Here is a 22,420-nt window from a genome sequence, read left to right on the forward strand (position 1 = left end):
CCATTTTTTTCTAGATTTTCTAGTTTATATGCATAGAATTGTTTAGTAATCTCTGATGTTTGTATTTCTGTGGGGTCAGTGATGATAGCCCCCTTATCATTTCTGATTGTGTCTATTTGATACTTCTCTTTTTTTCTTTTTTATTAGTCTAGCTAGTGGTATATCTATGTTATATATCTATTGTTATATATTTTATATGTACTCATTGATATTTTAAGGGTTTTTTAATGTCTCCATCTCCTTCAGTTCAGCTCTGATCTTTCTGGTAGCTTTGGGTTTGTTTGCTCTTAGTTCTCTAGTTATTTTAGTTGCAATGTGGGTTTTTAACTTGAGTCTTCCTAGCTTTTATATATGGGCATTTAGTGCTATAAATTTTCCTCTTTACACTGTTTTAACTGCATCCTGGAGTTTCTGGTATGTTGTCTCTTTGTTCCCATAAGTTTTGAATAACTTCTCAATTTCTGTCTTAATTTCATTACTTACCCAAGAGTCATTCCAGAGCAGACTGTTCAATTTTCATGTAGTTTCATGTAGTATTGAGTAAATTTCTAATCTTGAGCACTAATTTGATTGTGCTGTAGTCCTAGAGGTTGTTTGTTATAATTACAGTTCTTTTGCATTTGCCAATGAGTGTTTTGCTGCTGATTATGTGATCAGTTTTAGAGTGGGTGCCATGTGGTGATGAGAAGAACGTATATTCTGTTATTTTGGGGTGGAGAGTTCTGTAGATATGAACCAGGTTCACTTGATCCAGAGTTGAGTTCATGTCCTGAATATATTTGTTAATGTTCTGTCTCATTGTTAAAGTCTCCCACTATTACTGTGTGAAACTTTAAGTTTCTTTGAAGATCTCTAAGAACTTGCTTTATAAATTTGGGTGCTTCTGTATTGGGTGAATATATATTTAGAATAGGTAGCTCTTCTTCTTGAATTGAATCCTTTACCATTATGTAATGCCCATCTTTGCCGTTTTTGATCTTTGTTGGTTTAAAGTCTGTTTTGTCAGTAACTAGTATTACAACCCTTGCTTTCTTCTGTTTTCCATTTGTTTGCTAAAATTTCCTCCATCCCTTCATTTTGAGCCTATATGTTTCTTTTCACATGAGCTGGGTCTCTTGTAGACAGCATATCAATGGGCCTTGGCTCTGTATCTAGCTTGTCATTCTGTGTCTTTTAATTGAAGTATTTAGCCCATTTACATTTAAGATTATTATTGTTATGTGTGAATTTGATCCTGTCAGTATGATGCTAGCTGGTTATTTTGCAGACTTGTTTATGTGGTTACTTTATTGTGTCACTGGTCTGTGTGTTTTTGCAGTGTCTGGTAATGGTTTTTCCTTTCCATATTTAGTGCTTCCTTAAGGAGATTATGCAAGGCAGGTCTGGTGGTGACAAATTCCCTCAGCATTTGCTTGTTTGTAAAAGATCTTATTTCTTCTTCACTTATGAAGTTTAATTTGGCTGGATATGAAAGACTGGGTTGGAAATTCTTTTCTTTAAGAAAGTTGAATATTGACCCCCCAATCTGTTCTGGCTTGCAGGGTTTCCATTGAGATGTCCACTGGTAGTCTTATGGGCTTCCCTATGTAGGTGACCTGGCCTTTTTCTCTGGCTGCCCTTAACATTTTTTCTTTCATTTTCGCTTTGGTGAATCTGTCAATTATGTGTCTTGGAGTTGATTTTTTTTTTTTCTGCAGTGTCTTATTGGGGTTGTCTGCAGTTTCTAAATTTGAATGCTTGCCTGTCTTACTAGGTTGGGGATGTTCTCCTGGATAATATCCTGAAGTACGTTTTCTAATTTGTTTCTGTTCTCCCTTTCAGGTACCCCAATCAGTTACAGGTTAGGTCTTTTTACATAATCACATATTTCTGAGAGGTTTTGTTCATTTCTTTTCATTCTTTTTTCTCTATTTTTGTCTGCCTGTCTTATTTCAGAAAGATAGTCTCCAAGCTCGGAGTTTCTTTTCTCTGCTTGATCTCTTTTGCTATTAATACTTGTGGTTGCATTGTGAGTTTCTGTGTTCTGTTTTTCAGCTCTATTAGGTCAGCTATGTTCCTCTCTAAACTAGATATTCTGGCTATCAGCTCCTGCATTGTTTTATCATGATTCTTAGCTTCTTTGCACTGGGTTATAACGTGGTTTTTTAGCTCAGTGAAGTTCATTATTACCCACCTAATATTATGTTACACACCTGACTCCTATTTCTGTCAATTCAGCCATCTCAGTCTCAGCCCAGTTCTGTAGTTTTGCTGGAGAGGTATTGTCATTTGGAGAAGAGGTGCTCCGACTTTCGAGTTTTCAGCATTTTTACATTGATTCTTTCTCATCTTTGTGGGCTTATCTATCTTTGATCTTTGAGGTTGATTACCTTTGAATGGGTTTTTTGTGGGGTCTCTTTTGTTGAATTTGTTGTTGTTTTCTGTTTGTTTTCTTTTAATAGTCAGGCCACTCTTCCACAAGGCTGCTGCAGTTTTCTGGGGATTCACTCCATATCCTCAAGATGAGATTATGGGAGTATGCCCAAGAGGGAATTAGTCAAAAAAATGTGTCAAAATTTTGTATGTCACAAAGTGAATTTCTTCTCAGAAACTTGTTTTTGGATCTAAGTAAACAGGTTTTTCCAAATTATTAATGACCAAACAAAATTTTGAGTCAGTCAAAATAAATCTTTAATTTATTTAAGAGTTCAGGTTTGAAATTGCATCCAAAGGTGTTTGCTCATTTTTACTTAAGGTTTGCTAATAAGGTTAGATTTTAATTATTGAAAAAATCACTTCATACCATTGCTGAAGTTCTATGAATTGCAATCTTCTAAATCCATTTTGTGATTGATAGGATGAAGTTTTATAGATTTTGCATGATGCTATTTACTTGTGAAATCTAAAAATGTTAAATTTGGAGAAACAAAGTAGAATGGTGGCTGCTAGGGACCAGGGGAATGTAGAAATGGGGATCTTGTCAAAGTATATAAACTTTTAGCTATAAGATGTATAAATTCCTGAAATCTTAAAATATAGCCTGGTAACTGTGTTTAATAATAATATATTGATGATTGAAATTTGCAAAGATTAGACCTTAAGTGTTCTCAGCACAAACACACAAAAAGGTAACTATGTGAGGTGATGGATATGTTAATTAGTTTGATTGTGGAAATTATTCCATAAGTTTATAAGGATTTTCACATATATTTTATATCAAAACACCATATTATATACCTTAAATATATACAATCTATTAATTTGTCAGCTGTACCTCAACAAAGCTGGAAAAATATTTAATAGCTTTTGAATTATAAACCAAATTTTCTTCAACTTTGAGATATTTATTTTTTCACCCCTTTGGCAAAGAAATCCAACACTCTGAGTTTGTCTGATGATTGTGTGGGGAGAATTGCCACTGAATCTCAAGCTGTTCAGATTCCTTCTCAATAGCATTCAGGATAATCATTGCTAGCATGGCATTGAGATGGATCTTAGTCCTGTAAACAATGTTCAAAACTGATGCCTTGCTCTGGAAAGCAGTTCCTGCCACATAAATCATAGATGCCATAAAAATCACTTGACAGGAGAGGTAAAATTGATAGGCGATTACTACTGAAAGAATGATTGACAGCAAGACAATGCAAAACATCTCTGACTGAGGGAAATGTGGCCCATAGAGGACTGTGTTTTCAACCCATGAAAAATGGTTTCCACAGCAATAAATAGAAAACTGCTGCTAGCTTATAGATTTCTTCTAAAATGACTGATTATGGGAAAAAAGGAAGTAAAACTCCATATATTGAGGGGTAAAGGTGACCTGAATTTTGCTTCCTGTAGTGATTCTCAGACCTGCACATATATCACAGTGATTAGCGGTGCTTCCGAAGAATGGAGATTCCTCATCCCTACTGCAGACATAGAGAATCTTAAACTACAGGGTGGAGCCTTGGCCTCAGCATTCGAAAAAAATCCCACACATGATTAGTATAAATAGTCAGGTTTGGGAATCACAGTTAAGAAATATTTTCATAGCAGTTCCTTTAAAAATTTAGCTTTCACCTATGAGGAAGTCTATTTTTATCATCTTCATTTTCTCTATAGTATTGATTTTACATTAATACACATTCAAACTGTAATAACTTGTTTTTGCATTATCATAATATACACATTTTAATCTCTAGGACAGGTCAAGAAATATGATTTCCTTTTCCTAGTAACTTTCGGTATTACCTATTATCTACAGATTGAGACGCAGTCTCTTTTTGTCAAATTTGGGACGCAGCGTCTTTTGGTCAAATCTCTCTCCAGTCTGTCTTTGAGCATTTATTTGTGTACCATATCTTCAGCAATCCATTATCAAGCCAAGCACTCCAGACAACTATACGTTTGCCTATTATGGTAGAATGGCAAGAATAGCAGTTTCATTATTTTTGTCAATAATAACATCCCAGGAGTAAGAACTGACCAAAGAGATAATTGAAGTTATCCAGGGATTTAAACCAGCAAGATGGAAACAAACAAATTAAAGAAGTTAAGGTATCCAGCAAGCTGGACAGTGAAGATTTGGAACAGTGAATCAAAGTGATTAGAATAGAAAGGACTATAAAACTAGGAGGGTGTGATAGGCTGCCATGATTGGAACAAACAGAGGGAACAGAGGACAGATGAAAAAGTGATGCAAACTCAATGGATATAGACAAGTAAAAATGCCAGAGAGAGATATTAACAATTTTTGGAAGCCTAAATTGGTAGTTTCTTCCTGTGGTGAAAATAAAGATAGTTTTCTTTGAGAAAGTACAGCATCTCTAAGATAACACTGTTGAAATTTTCATGTTACGATTGAGATTCCTCAGGATATTAACATGAGTTTGGATAAACTGAAAAATAATGGAAAAGGTATTAATATATTCTTGAGATAAGTAGGGACTGTGTGGAAATTTGGAGATTGACTTTGATAAAAATGAGAGAGAGGGTATAGAATCTTATGATATGGACTTTAAATAAGGAGAAATTGTCGAATGTGGTAGAATGATTTTTTGTAATAAAGAGGACAGTGAAAATTATTCCAGCTTTTTGCCTTGGTGCCAATTGATGTTTGTGGAAGAGGTAATACTTTCTTTCTAATAAGTTTTAACATTTCAATAAATATAGATTAACCATTGCATGTTTAAAACTAAGCTGTATTTTAGAAGTAAAGGAAGGATATACATGTGAATAAAATGAATTTCTTACCTTTAAAATGTGCTTACAATCGCATCTGGGAGACAGTTCTGCACCCATCATAATGAATGAACAAGAGACTGAACCAAAGGTACTTATAATATTTATTGTATCCCAAATATAGAACGATTTTGCACAGAATTCCAAATTCAAATTGCTATCATGGTATAGAAAACACATTTTAAATCCAATTTAGCGGCATAGGAAATGATCCAATTCTCAAGGCTGGTAGCTGAAAAGAAAAGCTATGAATTTATAACTCACATATGTTATTATTTAAACAAATGTATTAAATAATGCTCAAGGTTAAGTTAATATTTTTCTTGATAGAAAGTGAACGCATTTCATGGGAAGACATCAAGGAAACACAGAGCAAGAGGGCTAATGGATTTTCAACTTGACTGATTTATTCTATTTAAAAGAAGCTGATGAAGAAATTTAAAATTTTTCCTAGTTTGGGGTTATAAAGAGAAAGAGACACCATGAGTACATTTATTAAATTTGTTTTACATCACTTATAACTTATGTTAATACACATACAACTATTTGCAAAAAAATACTTCATAGCGGCTGTTGGGCAAGTGTCAATGGTGTGCAATTACTAGGACCTTTGAAAATGACTCACATCTAGCTTGGATCACCTCACTCATTAATTACTTTATTCAATAATTTAATAATTCCATTATTAGAAGACTTAATTTAATGGTGGAAACCAATTTTATAAAGACACACTAATGTAGAATAGTAATTGCATCAAGCTAATCTTGAGAAAGTAGTACTCGAGTTCAGATTCTGAAGAATGAGATGGAGCTAACTAGAAAGGAGCAAGAAGAAAAAAAGATATAAAAATGTGTAAGTTTCTGAGCTTGGAGAAATCATTGGTGAATTGACAGAACTAGAATAAAGCCATCCTGATTTGGCACTGGAAGACATAGGGAGCTTGGTGTCAAATAAGGCTTGACATGAAGTAGAGGGACAAATTATACAGGATTTTTTGAATATATGCAAGTTATTTTACTTTATATTTAGAAAAATAAGAAACCATAAATAACACTTACCAATACTCTCAATTATTCTGTATAACAGTCAAGCACAAAAATCTTAGCAGTAGATTGAGAGAGGCAGTTCATCTTTGTTCCTTATGGCTCTTATTCTCCTTTTAGCCATGGGCTAGCCTGGACAAGTTCTCTCCAAAGGGGTGGAAAAGCACTTACTTGCAAGGCAGGTGAAAAATCCTGAGGCGTCTGACGGTCTGGGCTTGGAAATGGATCACTTTGATTTCCAGCTTCAACTAACGGCCAGGCAAATCTCATGGCTGGGGAAATCCACTCTACTACTAAAGTCAAGGGGTGTGGAAATGTACTTCACTACTCTATTGGGGAAGGAGAAATAATGAAGACTTCTGAGTTTTAATCTAACCTACCACAATAAAGAAATTGTTAAGTATGTGTTTGTATGTTTGTTTGTGTGTGTGAATGAGAGAGACACAGAGAGAGAGAGATGGAGGGAGAGATGCACTAGAGAGAGAGAGAAAAAATAAAATAACTACATTACCTTGTAAAATTATTGGTTCAATATGGAGAATGGATTGGATATATCTATCTATTGATCAATTGGTCTGTTTTTCTATCAAGACCTCTGTAGTGTCCCAAAGAAATGATAGTTTTTTGGACTTGGTTGAGTGAAGGTCGTGAAAAAAAAGTAGATGAATTTAGGACAGAAAATCAAAAAAACTTGGTGATGCCGTGATTTTAAGGGTAGACTAAGAGGAAATTATAAAGATATATATAAAGTTTCTTTCTTGATAAATTGAAAACTTGATGCCGTTCCTTAGGAACAAAGCAGCAGAAAGTGAACCAGTTTAAATAATTGAATTACGACAAAACATTCTGCTTTGGAAATATTCAATTCCAGGTAAATTTGAGATATCCCAAAAGAAATATTAATTAGAGAATTAGATTTTAAGGTTTCAATCCTAGAGGAAGCTGTTGATAATAAAAGTTCTCCTCTGTTATTTCTCCTTACGTACCAAAAAAGAATATTGGGAAATACTGAAGAGCTAAGTTTTTATTAAAAGCCCAGGTAGAGGAAGAACAGTCATCAAAAGAGTCAGAAGTTGGTAGAATGGTAGAGGGAAAGCCAGAAAATTGTTGTGTCATGCAGCCGAGTGAAGAGTGTGCTTTAAAAAAGAAATAAATAAGCAAGAGTCAAATGCTGCTTTGAAGTGAAATAAAATGAAAAACAAAAGCTTCCATTCAATTTCCTGCTTTGCTTACATAAAATAATATTTTTAAAAATGTGATTAGTCTTAAAATTGAGATACAGGTGATAGCTGTTAAGAGAAGGAGTATTCCAGCGAGGGTATGTTGGTTTGCTTTTGCTTTTATATTTCATTTCATTTTATTGGGTAAATCACCCATATGTTACTATAGAACCATAAATATATCTCTGGTATTTTGTCCTTCTTTCCCCTATTATTTCTTCTTTATATAAAAATAAACACCCTTCAAACTCTTGCTAGAGCTAAAAATAACATGTGCATGTAAAAAGGGCACAATATTGTCTTAAGGGAATGTGCTACTTCTCCAAGAGCAATTACAGCAAATAGTATCATGCCAACAGGAGCTGTTGAAAGTTATATTGTTGATCTGTGGTTGGAGAACAGCATATTGGATATCAGCCATATGAATGGCAAAAATAATCCCCTAATATAATACAATAGTTATATGTAAAGCATTAGGCTGAAGTGTAATATTTTTTAAATATTAAATTTTAAATTCTTAGTGTACTGAGGATGAGGGGTGCTAAATTTAATTAAGAAATCAACTTCCTCTTTTAAATGATTTTACTTTGTATTATGTCAGGAATAGAATGCTCGAAACTAATGTTCAAAGTAAAAAAAAAAATGCTTAAATTTAAATGAATGTAAAATCTTTGTTTTGATTACAGTGAAGCTACCCTGATTCATTTAATACTAATGGCATCAGTGATGACTCTAAGTTTCGGAAACATTCCATAGAGTACTTCTTAGGTTTTTGCATAACTTAGTCATATCGAATACTAGAACTGGAAAATGGGTGCGAGCCTTTTTCCCAGGAGAAACCATCATCGAAGTCAGTACTACTCAGAAGATAGTAAATACCCTGACAAACATGCTGACTTATACAAGTCTTTACCATTCTACTAGAAACCGATATATTCGAATAGTCAAAAAATTTGTGATGAAACCTATAAAGTGATTCAGAGATGGTAGTTTAAAAAACACAGTTCATTTTTACATCCATTATAATAGCATTGTGCATTATACATTATAAATAATATTTCTTAACATAATATCCAATATGTAAAAAGCTACATTTGATTACTAAAAGAACATTTTTCACACTATGGTCCTAGAGTGTATAATAGTGGCCACAATATAATCGGTGAAAAATAAGTGGTTGCTGAAGAAATTGATTTTTATAAAAATATTTTCCAACACACAGAAGGTAAAACAAAAGACTTCAGTGTTTTCGTTCCATATTGATTCTGACCTGCCTGATGGCAAGTAAATAATACTTAAAGCAGAAACATCAATTGGTAATCTGCTGAGACTGAATAACTCATTTCCCACTTATCATAGAAGAAGGTAGACAATGTTTTCAGGTTAATTCTTAATTTTGAAACTTATTCTCTTAAAATGCCTCAACTATGTGAGTTTGCTTTAGGTGATACATAGAAGTTTGAGCAGTTTACCCTCTCATCTGTTGCGCTTTCTTTAATTTTTTTTTTTATTGTTTCATCTTCACTTGTAGGGTAAAAGAGAACTTGATTGCATAATTATAACGTAACAGATGGTCACTATTAAATTTAATACTAAATACCCTATCTAGGGTAATTATGTGGTTCCTTAGTTTAGTAATCAATTCAGGAGCCTGAATAAGAGCATTTATAACATAGTTCTATTTATGTCATCTTTGGCTATTTTCTTTTTTTTTATTATTATACTTTAAGTTTTAGGGTACATGTGCACAATGTGCAGGTTAGTTACATGTGTATATATGTGACTTGCTGGTGCGGTGCACCCACTAACTTGTCATCTAGCATTAGGTGTAACTCCCAATGCTATCCCTCACCCCTCCCCCCACCCCACAACAGTCCCCAGAGTGTGATGTTCCCTTTCCAGTGTCCATGTGTTCTCATTGTTCAATTCCCACCTATGAGTGAGAATATGCAGTGTTTGGTTTTTTGTTCTTGCAATAGTTTACTGAGAATGATGATTTCCAATTTCATCCATGTCCCTACAAAGGACATGAACTCATCCTTTTTATGGCTGCATAGTATTCCATGGTGTATGTGTGCCACATTTTCTTAATCCAGTCTATCATTGTTGGACATTTGGGTTGGTTCCAAGTTTTTGCTATTGTGAATAGAGCCGCAATAAACATACGTGTGCATGTGTCTTTATAGCAGCATGACAGCATGATTTATAGTCCTTTGGGTATATACCCAGTAATGGGATGGCTGCGACAAATGGTATTTCTAGTTCTAGATCCCTGAGGAATCGCCACACTGACTTCCACAATGGTTGAACTAGTTTACAGTCCCACCAACAGTGTAAAAGTGTTCCTATTTCTCCACATCCTCTCCAGCACCTGTTGTTTCCTGACTTTTTAATGATTGCCATTCTAACTGGTGTGAGATGGTATCTCATTGTGGTTTTGATTTGCATTTCTCTGATGGCCAGGGATGATGAGCATTTTTTCCTGTGTTTTTTGGCTGCATAAATGTCTTCTTTTGAGAAGTGTCTGTTCATGTCCTTCGTCCACTTTTTGATGGGGTTGTTTGTTTTTTTCTTGTAAATTTGTTTGAGTTCATTGTAGATTCTGGATATTAGCCCTTTGTCAGATGAGTAGGTTGCGAAAATTTTCTCCCATTTTGCGGGTTGCCTGTTTACTCTGATGGTAGTTTCTTTTGCTGTGCAGAAGCTCTTTAGTTTAATTAGATCCCATTTGTCAATTTTGGCTTTTGTTGCCATTGCTTTTGGTGTTTTAGTCATGAAGTCCTTGCCCATGCCTATGTCCTGAATGGTAATGCCTAGGTTTTCTTCTAGGGTTTTTATGGTTTTAGGTCTAACGTTTAAGTCTTTAATCCATCTTGAATTGATTTTTGTATAAGGTGTAAGGAAGGGATCCAGTTTCAGCTTTCTACATATGGCTAGCCAGTTTTCCCAGCACCATTTATTAAATAGGGAATCCTTTCCCCATTGCTTGTTTTTGTCAGGTTTGTCAAAGATCAGATAGTTGTAGATATGCGGCATTATTTCTGAGGGCTCTGTTCTGTTCCATTGATCTATATCTCTGTTTTGGTACCAGTACCATGCTGTTTTGGTTACTGTAGCCTTGTAGTATAGTTTGAAGTCAGGTAGCATGATGCCTCCAGCTTTGTTCTTTTGGCTTAGGATTGACTTGGTGATGCGGGCTCTTTTTTGGTTCCATATGAACTTTAAAGTAGTTTTTTCCAATTCTGTGAAGAAAGTCATTGGTAGCTTGATGGGGATGGCATTGAATCTATAAATTACCTTGGGCAGTATGGCCATTTTCACGATATTGATTCTTCCTACCCATGAGCATGGAATGTTCTTCCATTTCTTTGTATCCTCTTTTATTTCATTGAGCAGTGGTTTGTAGTTCTCCTTGAAGAGGTCCTTCACATCCCTTGTAAGGTGGATTCCTAGGTATTTTATTCTCTTTGAAGCAATTGTGAATGGGAGTTCACTCATGATTTGGCTCTCTGTTTGTCTGTTGTTGGTGTATGAGAATGCTTGTGATTTTTGTACATTGATTTTGTATCCTGTGAGTTTGCTGAAGTTGCTTATCAGCTTAAGGAGATTTTGGGCTGAGACAATGGGATTTTCTAGATATACAATCATGTCGTCTGCAAACAGGGACAATTTGACTTCCTCTTTTCCGAATTGAATACCCTTTATTTCCTTCTCCTGCCTAATTGCCCTGGCCAGAACTTCCAACACTATGTTGAATAGGAGTGGTGAGAGAGAGCATCCCTGTCTTGTGCCAGTTTTCAAAGGGAATGCTTCCAGTTTTTGCCCATTGAGTATGATATTGGCTGTGGGTTTGTCATAGACAGCTCTTATTATTTTGAGCTAACGTCCCATCAATACCTAATTTATTGAGAGTTTTTAGCATTCAGGGTTGTTGAATTTTGTCAAAGGCCTTTTCTGCATCTATTGAGATAATCATGTGGTTTTTGTCTTTGGTTCTGTTTATATGCTGGATTACATTTATTGATTTGCATATATTGAACCAGCCTTGCATCCCAGGGATGAAGCCCACTTGATCATGGTGGATAAGATTTTTGATGTGCTGCTGGATTCAGTTTGCCAGTATTTTATTGAGGATTTTTGCATCAATGTTCATCAAGGATATTGGTCTAAAATTCTCTTTTTGGGTTGTGTCTCTGCCCGGCTTTGGTATCAGAATGATGCTGGCCTCATAAAATGAGTTGGGGAGGATTCCCTCTTTTTCTATTGATTGGAATAGTTTCAGAAGGAATGGTACCAGTTCCTCCTTGTACCTCTGGTAGAACTCGGCTCTGAATCCATCTGGTCCTGGACTCTTTTTGGTTGGTAAGCTATTGATTATTGCCACAATTTCAGCTCCTGTTATTGGTCTATTCAGAGATTCAACTTCTTCCTGGTTTAGTCTTGGGAGAGCGTATGTGTCGAGGAATTTATCCATTTCTTCTAGATTTTCTAGTTTATTTGCGTAGAGGTGTTTGTAGTATTCTCTGATGGTAGTTTGTATTTCTGTGGGATCGGTGGTCATATCCCCTTTATCATTTTTTATTGCGTCTATTTGATTCTTCTCTCTTTTTTTCTTTATTAGTCTTGCTAGTGGTGTATCAATTTTGTTGATCCTTTCAAAAAACCAGCTCTTGGATTCATTAATTTTTTGAAGGGTTTTTTTGTGTCTCTATTTCCTTCAGTTCTGCTCTGATTTTAGTTATTTCTTGCCTTCTGCTAGCTTTTGAATGTGTTTGCCCTTGCCTTTCTAGTTCTTTTAATTGTGATGTTAGGGTGTCAATTTTGGATCTTTCCTGCTTTCTCTTGTGGGCATTTAGTGCTATAAATTTCCCTCTACACACTGCTTTGAATGCATCCCAGAGATTTTGATATGTTGTGTCTTTGTTCTCATTGGTTTCAAAGAACATCTTTATTTCTGCCTTCATTGCGTTATGTACCCAGTAGTCATTCAGGAGGAGGTTGTTCAGTTTCCATGTAGTTGAGCAGTTTTGAGTGAGTTTCTTAATCCTGAGTTCTAGTTGGATTGCACTGTGGTCTGAGAGATAGTTTGTTATAATTTCTGTTCTTTTACATTTGCTGAGGAGAGCTTTACTTCCAAGTATGTGGTCAATTTTGGAATAGGTGTGGTGTGGTGCTGAAAAAAATGTATATTCTGTTGATTTGGGGTGGAGAGTTCTGTAGATGTCTATTAGGTCCGCTTGGTGCAGAGCTGAGTTCAATTCCTGGGTATCCTTGTTGACTTTCTGTCTCATTGATCTGTCTAATGTTGACAGTGTGGTGTTAAAGTCTCCCATTATTAATGTGTGGGAGTCTAAGTCTCTTTGTAGGTCACTCAGGACTTGCTTTATGAATCTTGGTGCTCCTGTATTGGGTGCATATATATTTAGTATAGTTAGCTCTTCTTGTTGAATTGATCCCTTTACCATTATGTAATGGCCTTCTTTGTCTCTTTTGATCTTTGTTCGTTTAAAGTCTGTTTTATCAGAGACTAGGATTGCAACCCCTGCCTTTTTTTGTTTTCCATTTGCTTGGTAGATCTTCCTCCTTCCTTTTATTTTAAGCCTATGTGTGTCTCTGCATGTGAGATGGGTTTCCTGAATACAACACACTGATGGGTCTTGACTCTTTATCCAATTTGCCAGTCTGTGTCTTTTAATTGGAGCATTTAGTCCATTTACATTTAAAGTTAATATTGTCATGTGTGAATTTGAACCTGTCATTATGATGTTAGCTGGTTATTTTGTGTGTTAGTTGATGCAGTTTCTTCCTAGTCTTGATGTTCTTTACATTTTGGCATGATTTTGCAGCCTCTGGTACCGGTTGTTCCTTTCCATGTTTAGTGCTTCCTTCAGGAGCTCTTTTAGGGCAGGCCTGGTGGTGACAAAATGTCTCAGCATTTGCTTGTCTGTAAAGTATTTTATTTCTCCTTCACTTATGAAGCTTAGTTTGCCTGGATATGAAATTCTGGGTTGAAAATTCTTTTTTTTTAAATTGTTGAATATTGGCCCCCCCTCTCTTCTGGCTTGTAGAGTTTCTGCCGAGAGATCAGCTGTTAGTCTGATGGGCTTCCCCTTCTGGGTAACCCGACCTTTCTGTCTGGCTGCCCTTAACATGTTTTCCTTCATTTCAACTTTGGTGAATCTGACAATTATGTGTCTTGGAGTTGCTCTTCTGGAGGAGTATCTTTGTGGCATTCTCTGTATTTCCTGAATCTGAATGTTGGCCTGCCTTGCTAGATTGGGGAAGTTCTCCTGGATAATATCCTGCAGAGTGTTTTCCAACTTGGTTCCATTCTCCCCGTCACTTTCAGGTACACCAATCAGATGTAGATTTGGTCTTTTCACATAGTCCCATATTTCTTGGAGGCTTTGTTCATTTCTTTTTATTCTTTTTTCTCTAAACTTCCCTTCTTGCTTCATTTCATTCATTTCATCTTCCATCGCTGGTACTCTTTCTTCCAGTTGATCGTATCGGCTCCTGAGGCTTGTGCATTCTTCACATAGTTCTCGAGCCTTGGCTTTCAGCTCCATCAGCTCCTTTAAGCACTTCTCTGTATTGGTTATTCTAGTTATACATTCGTCTAAATTTTTTTTCAAAGTTTTTAACTTCTTTGCCTTTGGTTTGAATTTCCTCCTGTAGCTCGTAGTTTGATCGTCTGAAGCCTTCTTCTCTCAACTCGTCAAAGTCATTCTCCATCCAGCTTTGTTCCATTGCTGGTGAGGAACTGCGATCCTTTGGAGGAGGAGAGGTGCTCTGCTTTTTAGAGTTTCCAGTTTTTCTGCTCTGTTTTTCCCCCATCTTTGTGGTTTTATCTACTTTTAGTCTTTGATGATGGTGATGTACAGATGGGTTTTTGGTGTAAATGTCCTTTCTGCTTGTTAGTTTTCCTTCTAACAGACAGGACTCTCAGCTGCAGGTCTGTTGGAGTTTGCTAGAGGTCCACTCCAGACCCTGTTCGCCTGGGTATCAGCAGCAGTGTCTGCAGAACAGTGGTTTTTTGTGAACTGCGAATGCTGCTGTCTGATCATTCCTCTGGAAGTTTTGTCTCAGAGGAGTACCCGGCTGTGTGAGGTGTCAGTGTGCCCCTACTTGGGGGTGCCTCCCAGTTAGGCTGCTCAGGGGTCAGGGGTCAGGGACCCACTTGAGGAGGCAGTCTGCCCGTTCTCAGATCTCCAGCTGCATGCTGGGAGAACCACTGCTCTCTTCAAAACTGTCAGACAGGGACATTTAAGTCTGCAGAGGTTACTGCTGTCTTTTTGTTTGTCTGTGTCCTGCCCCCAGAGTTGGAGCCTACAGAGACAGGCAGGCCTCCTTGAGCTGTGGTGGGCTCCACCTAGTTGGAGCTTCCGGGCTGCTTTGTTTACCTAAGGAAGCCTGGGCAATCACGGGCACCCCTCCCCCAGCCTCTCTGCCGCCTTGCAGTTTGATCTCAGACTGCTGTGCTAGCAATCAGCGAGACTCCGTGAGCGTAGGACCTTCCGAGTCAGGTGCAGGATATAATCTCCTGGTGCGCCGTTTTTTAAGCCCGTCGGAAAAGCGCAGTATTTGGGTGGGAGTGACCCGATTTTCCAGGTGCCATCTGTCACCCCTTTCTTTGACTAGGAAAGGCAACTCCCTGACCCCTTGCGCTTCCCGAGTGAGGCAATGCCTCTCCCTGCTTCGGCTCGCGCACGGTGCGCTGCACCCACTGACCTGCGGCCACTGTCTGGCACTCCCTAGTGAGATGAACCCGGTACCTCAGATGGAAATGCAGAAATCACCCGTCTTCTGTGTCGCTCACGCTGGGAGCTGTAGACAGGAGCTATTCCTATTCAGCCATCTTGGCTCCTCAGCTATTTTCTTTTTTCTTCTATTCTTTTCAGCCTATGTTTTGCGTTTGCATCATGGTAATAAATAATAGCATCTAATTCTTTATCTTAGAATCTAAGAAGTGTTAAAAAATCTGTCATGTAAAACACTAATTCTGATTACACTAGGAGCACCTAAAGTTATTTGTAAGTTAATTGAATGTGGTTTGGGAAAAAGTATCATCTGCCTTATGGCATTCATTTGCATATTAATAAAGAAACTTTGTTCAGTAGAGACATTTTCTGATTAAATCACGAATGTAAGAGCTCACTTAGAGATTATATGATTTCAAACTATGAACTGAAAAAGTCATAATTTCTAAAGAAAAGTCTTCTCAGACAAGCAATTTATATAAAAGAGCAAAGAAACACATTGAAGCTATTGATACCATGTCTATACATACCAAGAGGCAAAGAAAGCAATGTTCTAAAGCATGTTACCAAAAATTTCTGGACTTTTATTAAGAAAATTTTATCTCTAGTGATTTTTTAGAGCTTTGTGGTGGTCAGATAAGTTTCCCAATGTTCTTGCAAGGAGGGTCTTGGGAGAAAGCTGAGAGGTTATCATAGGTTGTGAGATCCTGGAACACATACCCGCTATGGCCAGCCATGGCTATTAGGCTTTGAATTAGTAACATAAAATAATAAGAACTATTTAAACTGCTTCACATGAGGGGAAACCCTACCAATCCATATGTCTGAAGCCTACCAACAAACTTCTAGATTATTCTCTAGAGAGTTTCATTTGTAAGGTCCTTTGTCAACCTTGCTTAATTTGGATTTTTAAATAAATGGGTATAAATCATGTAGCCTGTTCTAAAACATTCTGGAAAAGTTTTCAGAAAGCTTCGTTTTCTAAAAAGATTTTATTACTTAAGAAGCCCCATTATTTAATCTAGTTGCTTCAGACCCTGCTTTGCAATTATGTAGTTTCTTTGGTTGAATTCATATTCAGCTTATTTTATGAAGATCATAATTTTGTATAACTACATTGTGGTTTTGTAATATGTCTTACATAACAGTCCTTGTGACTTGATATTCATTGACTTTTTATATTCATTATTTGACTTTTCCTTTCGGAAAAGGTACAACATTTGAACTCAAATTATGATAGTTTCTCATTGTAAATATATGGTCATCAGTGTAAACTATTAATTAGCACCTCATGGGATTTTCTTAAGTGTCATCACATTTTTGGCTTAAATTTTTCTTCTCAAGTTACCTTTCTTTCAAAGCAGGCATAAGATATAAAAAAGGTAAGTGTTGGCTTCCTCCAATTAATAATTCTCTTTTAAACAATGATGATACTACTGACAGTAAGTAGTAATGGTGGGTGATGTGTTTGCATTTAACCTTTTTTCTCCTCCTTTTCTCACTTGTCACTTGTAAGAGCATTCCAACTAAGTCAAATGGAAAAAAAAAAAAAAGACTGAGGCTCAACTTGGCATCATTAAAGCACTGACCCATGTAGGGATAGGTATAGACAATGCATGAAACTTAGAGTCATATTTTATTACACTTGGAGAATTATATCCAACAACTTTCTACTGGACATCTCTACTTGAATGCTTCAGAGATATGACACACATAATAAATACTAGGTTTACTTTCTTCTTTGCTCCTCAGATCTCCCTATCTTTTCATTTTTTTCCTGTCTTGCCATTAAATACCTCTCTTGCCACCATTAAATACCTAGTTAAAACATAACCCTGGAAATTAGCCTCAATTTCTCCCTCTTGTTTAGCCTTTAATTTCATTGGAGATAAGACTCTATCCATTTTGCCTCTTAACACTTCTTGAATTCCTCCCTTCCTTTCCATTCTCACTGCAACTACTTTGCTTCAGACCACTATGGCTTCTCTGCTAGACTTCTCTAAAAGTGCCTTGAGAGGATCCCATGCCTCTGGTCCTGTTTTTATCCAATCTATTTTTCACACCATTGTAAGAATTACCTTTATAAATCACAAATGTGACTATGTCATTTCTCTGCCAAGAATTCTTCTGTGACTTTAACTTTCTACTTCTAATAAGTCTTTAAGAGGCTTATGACACACTGTAAGAATCTTTCATATTCTAGCAACTCTTACCTCATAAGCCCTATTTCTTGCCAATCCTTCTCCAGTTCCTTACTCAGGTCATACTTACTTTCTTGTAATCCTCAATCAAGACATTTCTATTTTTTTCCTGAACCTATGTGCATGTACTTCTGTAAGCCTAAACATATCTTCTCTTTTTGTTTTGCTTAGCTAAATTTTATGTCTTTTTCAACATTTATGAAGGCTTTAAAAAATAATTTCAACTTTTATTTTAGATTCAGAGGGTACATGTGTAGGTTTGTTACATGAATATATTGTGCATTACTGAGGCTTCAGATACTAATGATCCGGTTACCCAGGTAATAGGCATACTATCCAACAACAGTTAGTTTTTTTCAACCCTTATCCCCAACCCCACTCTAGTAGTCCCTAGTGTCTATTATTGCCATCTTTATGTTCATGAGTACCCAAGGTTTAGCGCCCACTTATAAGTGAGAACATGCAGTTTTGACACTCTCTTGCTACCCTTTTGGGTTTCTATTTTATAAGTTGTTGTAAAATCTCAAATTTGCTTTGATTTGACACTTATTAAGATAAATCACAACTGTATTTGTCTGTTCTCAAGCTGCTAATAAAGAAATACCCAAGATTGGGTAAATTATAAAGGAAATAGGTTTAATTGACTCACAGTTCCACATGGCTGGGGAGGCCTCACAATCATGGTGGAAGGGAAAAAAAGAAGCAAAGTCATGTCTTACATTGCAGCAGACAAGAGAGAGCTTATGTAGCGGAACTCCTATTTATAAAATCATCAGATCTTGTGAGACTTATTCACTACCATGAAAAGAGTATGGGGGAAACTGAGTCAATTATCTCCACCTGGCCCCACCCTTGACATGTAGGGATTATTACAATTCAAAGTGAGATTTGGGTGGGGACTCAGCCAAACCATATCAACAACTGTCTTCTGCTAAACCTAAATATCCTCAACCTAGAGATTGTGTCTTTTATTTTACTTCTCACAATTTCTAGCACAGTGCTTGACAAATAGTGCACAGTCCAAATTTATTTGTTGAATAAATGATTGAATGAATGAAACCAGATTAATTTACTTGATTTTTCTCTTCTGATTTTTCTTGATTTTGCTGTTAGAAAGTTCTTATAAAAATGCAAACAAACTCATATGCAGCACAATCAGTATGTGTCCCAAGTAGACAAAGGACTCCTACTTGACACTGTTCCATACATGTAGATAAATCACTTCTACATTATAATACCTACCACCATCCATGATGTTCTCCCTACTTAAGACCTCAGGAGTATTGTTGACCATTCTGCTTAATTGGTTACACCCAATATTGAATAAGTCTTTTTGAATCTATCCTCCAAATTGCTCTTGGAGGCTTTTCCTACCTCTTCTCTTAATTCCCGTAACCACTGTATTATTCCTGCTCCCATCATTTTTCGTCTAAATTGGTTTCCCTAAATAGCTTCATATTTTCTTATCTCATTCAACCCTGTACAGTCTAGTCTCTGTAATATTACCATAGTCATAATTCTAAAATATAAATTTATTTATATTCTGTGCTTAAAATCATCCAACAGTTCTCTAATTTCACATAGAAAAGTCAAGATTTACTTACAAGGTGTGGCAGATAAAATGTTTTATTTATATCAAATCTATTACATTTTTGTCTTTGGGCACTCCGATTAAGTCTGTTCCTCAGATTCCATTACTGATAGACAACATTTCAACATTTCAACTGCATTGAATCTTGGATCATAACATGAGTAAACAATGTAAACTTTATTTTGTCAATCTGATGAAATTCAAAGTTTCTCTGTTAAAGCATTTACATTTACTTACACTGATTAATATATATGATAACCACAGCACTGTGGTTAAGAACATGAGGTTTTAAATTACAAATGAGTCAGAGTCATGGCTCCAATATCACTACATATGGAAATGTAGGTAAATCACTTTCTTACTCTAAGTTTGGATTTTCTTTTCTAGAAAATGGTAACTATCTCATTGTGATGTTGATAATTGAACACATAATTAGAACTCAACAAATACAGGCTATCAGTATCTACAAAACCAAGATAATAGCATTTACTTTGTATAGGATTGTTTTGAAGGTGAAGGAGGTAATCTGTGAATAAGTATTTAATATAGTACTTGCACATTCTATTTGCTTAATTAAAACTAATACATGTGGATGTTATTATCATCATCATCAATATGAATTTTATCTTTAAAATTCATGACAAGGTAATGCTTCAGAATGACCCTAAGCTTATTGAAACTTCAAGCAAACCAAAACTTAAATTATGGTAATTTCTCAGTTATCCAACCAACAAGGTGCTGCTTACACAAATATTATCTAGTTTTACTTTGAATGAACAAGAAATGCAGCAGTAGCAGTGACCATTTAAATCTTCAAATATTGTCCCCCTCCCCACATACTTTATTTCTGTGAACAATTAATGAAGCACAAATTGCTTTTTGGCTGTGGAACAAGAGGAAGGAGGAGGAGTTAGTTCAAATAATGAGCAAATTAACAATAATTACTTGAATGAAACTTGCCCTGAATGCCATATGTTTCTATTATACTTTGACAATGGTTTTAAAATCTCGGTTATGTTTAGTTTATTTGGCAAACTGTATTTTAACATCATCTCAAAAGCTATGATCTAAGGAAGGCATAACTAAACTATATTTGGTAAAAAAGAAAAAAATGATACTACATTTTTTAAGTATGTATAAGAACATATTTTAAATCCTCTTCACTTTCTGTTATTTCTAATTTTATGAGTCAAAAAACTCTCACAAGTACATGATTTTCACTTACAGGTACATTATAGCATACTGAAAACTACAATTGAATTATGAATAATAGCTGTGATTTTAGAAGCTGAGAATGAAAATGAAATAGTATAATATTTACCTCTCTTTAGAGTATATTTAGTCTAGTTAAAACATGCTGGCATAGATTTGAGCAGGTAATAACTGACTGTATTTTAAGGCTTGAGGCAAAGCCCAAGGTACTAACTCAAGCAGGTCATTAACGCACTGGTAAAAATGCTCACAGGATATATTCTGGCTTTCTATTTCTATTTGTGCATTTTATATGGTGTATTCATTATTGAAGATGCTAAAACTACTTGGGCTAAATAACATATTTTAGCATAACTTGATAATTTATTAATTAATATTACCTTGTAAATTGACCATTTTAAATCTGTTATTCTTTAATAGTTAATTTTCCTTTTTACTATCTACCTTATTTCTTACTATAATAATGAATATCTATAGTGTTTCCACATCTTAGTTTTTAGAAGTTATGTCTATTAAGCAGAAATACAATATTAGACTTCCCAAAAGTTTAGAGAGTTATATCTGTATTTGGCAAATACTTCCTAAATATTTATTGTTGATTAAATTACTTATCAATTATTTATTGTTTTGACTGGGATGCCAATATATTAGTGACTTTAAGGGATTAGACAGCTGTATTTTTTAATCCTGAAAATTTTATCTGTAAGATTCAATTTATTAAATACTAATTGAAAAAAAGTATTTTCCCTGGCTACTCTGCTGTCCTTTCTGCACACTTGAACAGGACCATTTCTCACATCCTCCCATATTTACTGGAGTTTATTAGATGTTTAACTCCTCACTTCTCCTGGCATATATATATATTTTGCTTGTCTGAAATCAAGCCTTTTCTCATGTAAAGTATCTATCTTCCACTTATTTCTATATATGTGTACTTTTCAAGGATACCGATCCCTCCTCACCTAGAAAATTCTAATTTAAAACTTATAAAATTTTCTACTTGCCAAACCAAGAAGGGATTCTCTGCTGCCTGCCAGTTTGCAAATCCTGGTTATGGGATGAAGCCCAAACTTCTAAGCATGGCCTATACTGTCCTTCAACATCTGGCTGCTGCCCTCTGACTTGGCTCATCTTACCACCACTTTGATGTGCAAATAAGACTCCAGTTGCCTCGAAATAGTTGTAACCACCTCCCTCCATCTTTTATGTAAGACTTTGTGCTCTTACACAGATTTGTCTCTCTGTCTGAATTTCCTCCCCCAGCTATTCGTTTCATATATCCCTGAGACTGGTTGGAAAACTTCTCATTCTCCAAGTAACTGTAAGTGTTACCTCCTTTGAAAAACATTTACTCAAGCCAAGTCAATGGTTTCATAAATATTGCAGAATTTCTCTTATAAAAGTAGAATTATCTACTTATCTCTGATGACTTCAATAAGACTTGTAATTCTTGAAGACATGAGTGTCTATCTATAAGCTTAGATGTCTTGTTCTCATTACTTCTTACCTAGACATTGACATGAGTCTCCTAAATTAATTAATTCTTTCTGCTATGGAGTTTTATTTGTCTCACTTAATGAGACTAGTAAGGTGAACCACAATGCCATCAGATACCCTGATTTTTATATTTTTAGCTTGCTTTTTTTTAGTTCAGACATATCACCTTGCAACTACAAAATGGCTGTCCTACTTCCAGCATCACAGTTATATTCTGGGCAAGAAGCACAAGAGCAGCAGGAGGTAAAAGTGTATGTCCTGGCCAGATTAGTTCTCTTTAGAGACTTTTTTCTCAAAAAATCAAATATTTTCTCTCTATTATATATGATTGGACAAAACTATGTTACATAAACGTTTCTAGCTTCCAGGGAGAGCTAGAAAATGATAAATTCTTAGTCGGTCCATTTTCACCCTGAATAAAACTGGGTTTTCTTAGTAAGGAAGGAAAGAATGACTATTGGCTTACTTGCAGATATCCTGGTCCTCATTATTTAAACTTCTCTTTGTTCTTCTCAGGGTGTTTCCACACAATAAGTTGAATACATTTTTATAGATCAACTGGATGATTTTAAGAGAAAAACCATGAAAGAACAATAATTAATCACCAAGAAAAATAAAAAGAAAAAATGAGAAGAACAGTTTCATTTCTAGAGTTAATTTCCAGTATATGGAAACATAGGCTTATCTTTGGAGG

General features: G+C 35.7%; 1 long non-coding RNA gene across 1 annotated transcript in view, besides 1 other annotated feature; it reads left to right on the forward strand.

Annotated features, from left to right (window-relative positions):
- The window catches only part of LINC02444 (long intergenic non-protein coding RNA 2444), a 49,128-nt gene that overhangs the window by 25,264 nt on the left and 1,444 nt on the right, over positions 1 to 22,420 (forward strand). The window contains exon 3 of the long non-coding RNA NR_110130.1: positions 21,879 to 21,969. This is a non-coding gene — a long non-coding RNA (long intergenic non-protein coding RNA 2444). The remainder of the gene's footprint in view (positions 1 to 21,878; positions 21,970 to 22,420) is intronic.
- Positions 5,936 to 7,135: an enhancer, noted in NCBI's record as "MED14-independent group 3 enhancer chr12:73584169-73585368 (GRCh37/hg19 assembly coordinates)". NCBI's record gives its function as "activates an origin of replication core promoter dependent on BRD2, BRD4, P300/CBP and CDK7 cofactors, and independent of MED14, by STARR-seq in HCT116 cells {active_cell/tissue: HCT116}" and the evidence as "EXISTENCE:reporter gene assay evidence [ECO:0000049][PMID:35650434]".

Source organism: Homo sapiens, chromosome 12, assembly GCF_000001405.40.
Source record: "Homo sapiens chromosome 12, GRCh38.p14 Primary Assembly".
NCBI lineage: Eukaryota > Metazoa > Chordata > Mammalia > Primates > Hominidae > Homo > Homo sapiens.